Raw genomic sequence first — 8,505 nt, forward strand, 5'->3', positions numbered from 1 at the left:
TGGTCTGCCCCGGGTGGAAAACTGCTTAAAGGCATTCTTAAGCCACAAACAACAGCATGAGCGATCTGTGCCTTAAGGACATGCTCCTGCTGCAGTCAACTAGCCCAACCTATTCCTTTAATTTGGTCCATCCCTTCGTTTCCCATAAGGGATACTTTAGTTAATTTAATATCTATAGAAACAATGCTAATGACTCTTTTGCTGTTAATAAATATGTGGGTAAATCTCTGTTCAGGGCTCTCAGCTCTGAAGGCTGTGAGACCCCTGATTTCCCACTTCACACCTCTATATTTGTGTGTGTGTGTCTTTAATTCCTGTAGCACCGCTGGGTTAGGGTCTCCCCGACCGAGCTGGTCTCAGCATACACTATAACCAAATGTGACCAAAATGGATGGTACTGGCATTAAAACAGACACATAGACCAGTGGAACAGAATAGAGAACCCAGAAATAAATTCATACATCTGCAGTAAACTCATTTTTGACAAAAGTGCCAAGAACATACATTGGAGAAAGTATGGTCTCTTCAATAAATACTGCTAGGAAAACTGGACATCCATATGCAGAAGAATGAAACTAGATCCCCATCTCTCATCATATATAAAAATCAAATCAAAATGGATGAAAGACTTAAATCTGAGACCTCAAACTATGAAATTAATACAAGAAAACACTGGGGAAACTCTACAGGACACTGGACTGGGCAAAGATTTCTTGAGTAAAAGCCCACAAGCACAAGCAACCAAAGCAAGAATGGACACATCAAATTAAAAAGCTTCTGCACAGCAAAGGAAACAACAAAGCAAAGTGAAAAGACAACTCACAGAATGGGATAAAATATTTGCAGAACTACCCATCTGACAAGGGACTAAGGAGAATATATAAGAAACTCAAACAACTCTGTAGGAAAAAAAAATCTAATCAATTAAAAATGGGCAAAAGATCCGAATAGACATTTCTCAAAAGAAGACATGCAGGCTGGGCGCGGTGGGTCACGCCTATAATCCCAGCACTTTGGGAGGCTGAGGCAGGTGGATCACGAGGTCAGGAGTTCAAGACCAGCCTGGTCAACATAGTGAAACACCGTTCTACTAAAAATACAAAAAATTAGCCGGGCATGGTGGCGGGTACCTGTAATCCCAGCTGCTCAGGACGCTGAGGCAGGAGAATTGCTTGAACCTGGGAAGTGGAGGTTGTAGTGAGCGGAGATCACACCACTTCACCCCAGCCTGGGCAACAGTGTAAGACTCTGTCTCAGAAAAAAAAAAAAAAAGAAGAAGACATGTAAATGGGAAACAGGTATATGAAAAGGTGCTTAACATCGTTGATCACCAGAGAAATACAAATCAAAACCACAGTGAGATATCATCTCATTCCTAATTAAAATGGCTTTTATCCAAAAGACAGGCAAAAACAAACGCTGGTGAGGATGTGGAGAAAAAGGGAACCCTCATACACTGTTGGTGGGAATGTAAATTAGTACAATCTCTATAGACAACACTTGGGAGGTTCCTCAAAAAAACAAAAAAAGAGCTACCATATGATCCAGCAGTTCCACTCCTAGATATATACCCAAAAGAAAGGAAATCAGTAGATAAAAAAATATCTGCACTCCTGTTTATGGCAGCGTTATTCACAATAGCCAAGATTTGGAAGCAACCTAAGTGTCCATCAACTGACAAATGGATAAAGGGAATGTGGTACGTATGCACAATGGAATACTATTCACCATAAAAAAAAGAAATTGATCCTGTCATTTACAACAACGTAGATGGAGCTGGAGGTCATTATGTTAAGTGAAATAAGGCAGGCACAGAAATACAAACTTTGGGCTGGGTGCGGTGGCTCACGCCTGTAATTCTAGCACTTTGGGAGACTGAGGCAGGTGGATCACCTGAGGTCAGGAGTTCAAGACCAGCCTGGCCAAAATGATGAAACCCCGTCTATACTAAAAATACAAAAATTACCCAGGTATGGCGGTGCATGCCTGTAATCCCAGCTACTCAAGAGGCTGAGGCAGGGAAATTGCTCGAACCCAGGAGGCGGAGTTTGCAGTGAGCCAAGATTGAGACACTGTACTCCAGCCTGGGCGACAGAGTAAGACTCTGTCTCAAAAAAAAAAAAAAAAAAAGAAAAGAAATGAAATACAAACAGCATGTTGTTTCTTATTTGTGGGAGCTAAAAATCATGGAGATAGACAGGAGAAGGATGATTACCAGAGACTGGGAATAGGGGGAGGAGGAAGGGAGGAAGTGTGAATGGTTAATGGGTACCGAAAAGGTAGAATGAGTAGGCCAGGTGTGGTGACTCACATCTGTAATCCCAGCACTCTGGGAGGCCAAGGGGAGAGGATGGCTTGAGCCCAGGAGTTTGAGACCAGCCTGGGCAACATAGGGAGACCCCATCTCTATTTTTAATTAAATAAAAAAAGAATGAATAAGACCTAGTATTTGCTAGCACAACAGTGTGACTACAGTCAAAAATAATTTCATAGTACATTTAAAAATAACCAAAAGTGCTGGGCGCGGTGGCTCACACTTGTAATCCCAGCACTTTGGGAGGCCGAGGCGGGCGGATCACGAGGTCAGGAGATCGAGACCATGGTGAAACCCCGTCTCTACTAAAAATACAAAAAATTAGCTGGGCGTGATGGCAGGCGCCTGTAGTCCCAGCTACTCGGAGAGGCTGAGGCAGGAGAATGGCGTGAACCCGGGAGGCGGAGCTTGCAGTGAGCCGAGATTGCGCCACTGCACTCCAGCCTGGGCGACAGAGCGAGACTCCGTCTCAAAAAAAAAAAATAATAACAGTATAACTGGATTGTTTATAACACAAAGGATAAATGCTTGTGGGGATGGATACCCCATTTACCCTGATGTGATTAGTATGTATTGCATGCCTGTATCAAAACATCTCACGTACCCATAAATAAGCACATCTAGTATGTACTCACAAAAATTAAAAATAAATACAGGCCAGGCGCGGTGGCTCACGCCTGTAATCCCAGCACTTTGGGAGGCCGAGGCGGGTGGATCACGAGGTCAGGAGATCGAGACCATCCTGGCTAACACAGTGAAACCCCGTCTCTACTAAAAATACAAAAACAAAATTAGCCGGGCGTGGTGGCAGGCGCCTGTAATCCCAGCTACTCCGGAGGCTGAGGTGGGAGAATGGCTGAACACAGGAGGCAGAGCTGGCAGTAAGCCCAGATCGCACCACTGCACTCCAGCCTGGGTGACAAAGCGAGACTCTGTCTCAAAAAAATATAATAATAATAAAAATAAATAGATAAATAAACACAAATAAATTAAAACAAAAAATTTAGAAATTTTACTTATTTATTTTTACTTTTGAGACAGAATCTCGCTCTATTGCTCAGGCTGGAGTGTAGTGGTGTGATCTCAGCTCACTTCAACCCCCGCCTCCCAGGTTCAAGCGATTCTCCTGCCTTAGCCTCCTAAGTAGCTGGGACTACAGGTGCACACCACCATGCCCAGCTAATTTTTGTGTTTTTAGTAAAGACGGGGTTTCACCATATTGGTTAGGCTGGTCTCGAACTCCTGACGTCATGTGATCCACCTGCCTCGGCCTCCCAAAGTGCTGGGATTACAGGCATGGGCCACCGCAGCTGGCCAAAAATTTAAAAATTTTAAACATTATTCTAGATGTTCCTATGAAGTTTGTTTTATTTATTTATTTATTTATTTATTTATTTTTGAGACGGACTCTCGCTCTGTTGCCCAGGCTGGAGTGCAGTGGCATGATCTCGGGTCACTGCAACCTCCACCTCCCGGGTTCAAGCATTTCTCCCTGCCTCAGCCTCCTGAGTAGCTGGGATTACAGGCATTCACCACCACGCCTGGCTAATTTTTTTTTGAGACAGAGTTTGGTTCTTGTTGCCCAAGCTGGAGTGCAATGGCATGGTCTCGGCTCACTGCAACCTCTGCTTCCCAGGTTCAAGCGATTCTCCTGCCTCAGCCTCCCAAGCAGCTGGGATTATAGGGGCCCACCACCACGCCCAACTAACTTTTGTATTTTTAGTAGAGACAGGATTTCACCATATTGGTCAGGCTGGTCTCGAACGCCTGACCTCAAGTGATCTGCCCGCCTCAGCCTCCCAAAGTGCTGGGATTACAGGCGTGAACCACCACGTCTGGCTGAAGTTTTTTTTCAGATTAACATTTAAATCAGTAAACTCTGAGTAAAGCAGTTCTTCCTCTGTAATGTAAGCAGGACTCATCCAATCAGTCAAAGGCTTTAATTTTTTTTTCTTTTGAGACGGAGTCTCACTCTGTCACAATAGTGTGATCTCGGCTCACTGAAACTCCGCCTCCTGGGTTCAAGCGATTCTTGAGCCTCAGCCTCTCAAGTCGCTGGGATCACAGGTGCCCACCATCATGCTTGGCTAATTTTTGTATTTTTAGTAGAGACATGGTTTCCCCATGTTTCCCAGGCTGGCCTCAAACTCCTGACCTCAGGTGATCCACCCACCTCGGCCTCCCAAAGTGCTGGGATTACAGGCGTCAGCCACCACACCCAGCCAAAGACTTTAATTTAAAAAAAGAAAGAAAAAAAAAAAAAAGACTGACTTCCCTGTAAAAGAATGAATTCTGCCAGACGACTGCTTTCAGACTTGAACTGCAACATCGACTCTTTCGTGGGACTTCAGCCTGCTGGCCTACCCTGCAGATTCTGGACTTGCCAGGCTCCACAATCACGTGAGTCAATTCCTTGAAACAAATCTCTGTGTCTGTGCCCCTCTTTATCTGTCTCACTCTCAGTCTCTATGTATGTATATATACATATATGTACCTATGTGTATGTATAGATACATATGTGTACATATGTGTATGTATATACATACGTGTATGCATGTGTATGTATATATACATATGTGTATGTGCATGTATATATATACACATATGTGTGTATGTGTATATGCATGTATGTATACATGTGTATATATGTATGTATGCATGCATACACGTATGTATGCACGTATCCATACACGTATGTATGTGCCTATGTATATGCATGTATGCATACATGCACATGCATGTGTATATATATGTGTATGCACATATACATATGTATATACATGCATGCACATATATGCATGTATGTATGCATGTATGTGCATATGCACATGTATACATATATGTATATATTTGTGCATGCATGTATATGCATATACATACATGTATATATGTATTATACATGTATATATACACATTCACAGAGATATACACATTACTATGGACTATGTATTTGTGTCCCCTCAGAACTTCATGTTGAAGCCCTAACCCCAAGTGTGGCTATATTTGGAGTAGAGGCCTCTAAGGAACTAATTAAGTTAAATAAGGTAATATGGGGTAGAGCCTAGATCCAATATGATTAGTGCCCTTATAAGAGACATAAGAGAAAAGGCCATGTGAGGACAGAGTGAAGGTGGCCATCTGCAAACCAAGAAGAGAGCCCTCACTAGAACCAAATCAGCTGGAACCTTAATCTTGAACTTCTAACCTCTAGTACAGTGAGAAAATTAATTTCTGCTGTTTAAGCCACCCAATCCATGGTGTTTTGTTCCCCAGCATATGGATATATATACATGTATACATATTATGCATCTTCTATTGATTCTGTTTCTCTGGAGAACCCTGACTAGAACAATACAGTCCTTCTAGGTCTTTCTTGGCCATCATCTATTGAGTTTCCCCTTGGTGGTTCTAAACCTCTCCTCTCTTTTCTACTGGTTCTCACTTTACTGGAGCAATTGAGTCCCTCAGAGTTGTCCTCAGCCTTGTCTCTGCCTCTAAAATCCTCCCTCCTTAGCCCATCCTTCCCACCACCTCTCCTTCTTCTATGACTTCAACCTCTATCTTCGGCATACAAATGTATTCAAGCATTCAAGTCTCTCTTACCTAAACATCACCCCAACCTTAGAGCCCTCTCTAGCCACAGCTCTCCCTCCTTTCCTCCTTTCCCCTTTCCTTTTTTTTTTTTGAGATGGAGTCTCACTCTGTACCCAGGCAGGAGTGCAGTGGGATGATCTCAGCTCACTGCAACCTCCACCTCCCAGGTTCAAGCAATTCTCATGCCTCAGCCTCTCCAATAGCCGGGACTACAGGCACATGCCACCATGTCCGGCTAATTTTTATATTTTTAGTAGAGGTGAGTTTTTGCCATGTTGGCCAGGCTGATCTTAAACTCCTGGCCTCAAGTGATCTGCCCGCCTCAGCCTCCCAAAGTGCTGGGATTATAGGCATGAGCCACCATGCCCGGCCCTCATTGCAAACCTTTTTTTTTTTTTTTTTTTTTTTTTTGAGACGGAGTTTCACTCTTGTTGCCCAGACTGGAGTGCAATGGCGTGATCTCGGCTCACCGCAAACCTCCGCCTCCTGGGTTCAAGTGATTCTCCTGCCTCAGCCTCCCGAGTTAGCTGGGATTACAGGCATGTGCCACCACACCCAGCTAATTTTGTATTTTTAGTAGAGACGGGGTTTCTTTATGTTGGTCAGGCTGGTCTCGAACCCCTGACCTCAGATGATCCACCCTCCTCGGCCTCCCAAAGTGTTGGGATTACAGGTGTGAGCCACGGTGCCCGGCTGCAAAGTTTTCTAATGTCTTCTACATTTAAATTTGCCCTCACTTCTCATTCTATATTAGGCAAAATTCTTTTTTTTTTTTTTTTTTTTTTGAGACAGAGTCTCACACTGTTGCCCAGGCTGGAGTGCAGCAGCGTGATCTCGGCTCACTGCAACCTCCGCCTCCTGGGTTCAAGCGATTCTCCTACCTCAGCCTCCTGAGTAGCTGGAATTACAGGTGCACACTACCATGCCTGGCTAATTTTTGTATTTTTAGTGGAGACGGGGTCTCACAATGTTGTCCAAGCTGGTCTCGAACTCCTGACCTCAAATGGTCCACCCATCTTGGCCTCCCAAAGTGCTGGGATTATAGGCGTGAGCCACTGTGCCTGGCCTGGATTAGGCAGAATTCTTTATGACAGAAACACAACTCAAAATTGTCTTAAGGGGAAAAAAAATAGAATTTATTTGTTCACAGAGCCAAAAAGTACAGAAGTAGATCTTTCACTTCAAGCATGGCTGAATCCAGGTCCTCAATGATACCAACAGGAAGTTGTCTTTCTCACTCTCTGCATTCCTCCATGTTGACCTCATTCTCACTCTCAATCTCTCCTCTTGATGACAAGATGACCACAAGAAGCTCTAAGCTTACACTTTGCCTGCTTGTCAGCTCCAGCAGAAAGAGTTAGCTCTTTCCCTAAGATTCTAGTAACAGTCCTGGAATTGAGCCTCATGAGCCTGGTTTGACTCACTTGTCCATTCCCAATCATTTGGGCAGGGAATGGGATGTTCTAATTGGCCAGGCCTGGGTCACATGGGGGTGGTCCACTCAATCCAAACCACAAAACTGAAAATGAGGAAGAATGGTTCCCCAAAGGAATATTGGAGTGCTGGTATCAGAACAAAGGGAATTGGATGTAGGCAGGCAGAACCAACAGATGTCCACTATGCTTCCATCCCTCAACCTAGTGCAAACTGATTTCCACTCCTGGCATCCACTGACATCTCTCTCACCAAGGTGACCAGGGAACTTGATGGCCAAGAGCATCTGCTCAGCTCTCATTCTTCACCTTTCTGCTAGTCACTCCTTCCTTCTGCAAACTCTGCTTGACTTCCATCACCCAGCTCTAACTGAACCCTCTCCAATCTCTCTGACCCACCCCTCTACCTCCTTCACATATAGCCATCCTCCAAGATTTAGGCCTCAGTCCTTCCCTCTCTAGTCTCCATCTGTGGTCCCACTCTCTCCTATACACACTTCTGTTGGGAGCCGAAAAGGCCAAAGGGATCGTGACCAACTCAGCATTCCACTGGAGGCTATATGATCAAACAGCAAACTGTTTATCATGAATGTAGGATGTGAGCAAACACACTGCACCTGCCACCAAAAGGTTTGCTGATGGACATCACTCCTTGGTGCAGGGCTCCTTGAAGTTATCTAAGAAATCTAGCACCTATTGTTCAAAAGATGCAGTCTCACAAGCCTGCTGTGAACCAAACCTCTAACTGACAATTACCGACAATCACCCCCCCTTTCTCGCTCTCTTTTGCCTACGAAATACGGAGGGATGTGTAAAACTCAGGGCCCTTGTCCACTAGAGGCAAAGTGCCCCCTGACCCCTTCTTCCAAATATACTCTTTTGTCTTGTCTTTTATTCCCATTGCCCACCCACCTTTGTTCAGTCCACCAGGGATCATGGCAGGCTACACACTTCTAGTTCCTGGACATCTTCTAAATCTTCTGTCTCCCAGCAATCACCTGGGCTCCCCCAAAGCCCTCAAACTAATGGTTCTGGCAATTTCACAGATTCATGATTTATGACCCCATCCTTTCCCCTTGCCTTTTTCCCAGCCCGTACCTCTGGTCGGTCACCAAGTTAGTCACTTCCCTACTGGGACCCGCTTTCCCATCAACGCTCCCCACT

This window comes from Homo sapiens, chromosome 9 (assembly GCF_000001405.40).
Source record: "Homo sapiens chromosome 9, GRCh38.p14 Primary Assembly".
Classification (NCBI taxonomy): domain Eukaryota; kingdom Metazoa; phylum Chordata; class Mammalia; order Primates; family Hominidae; genus Homo; species Homo sapiens.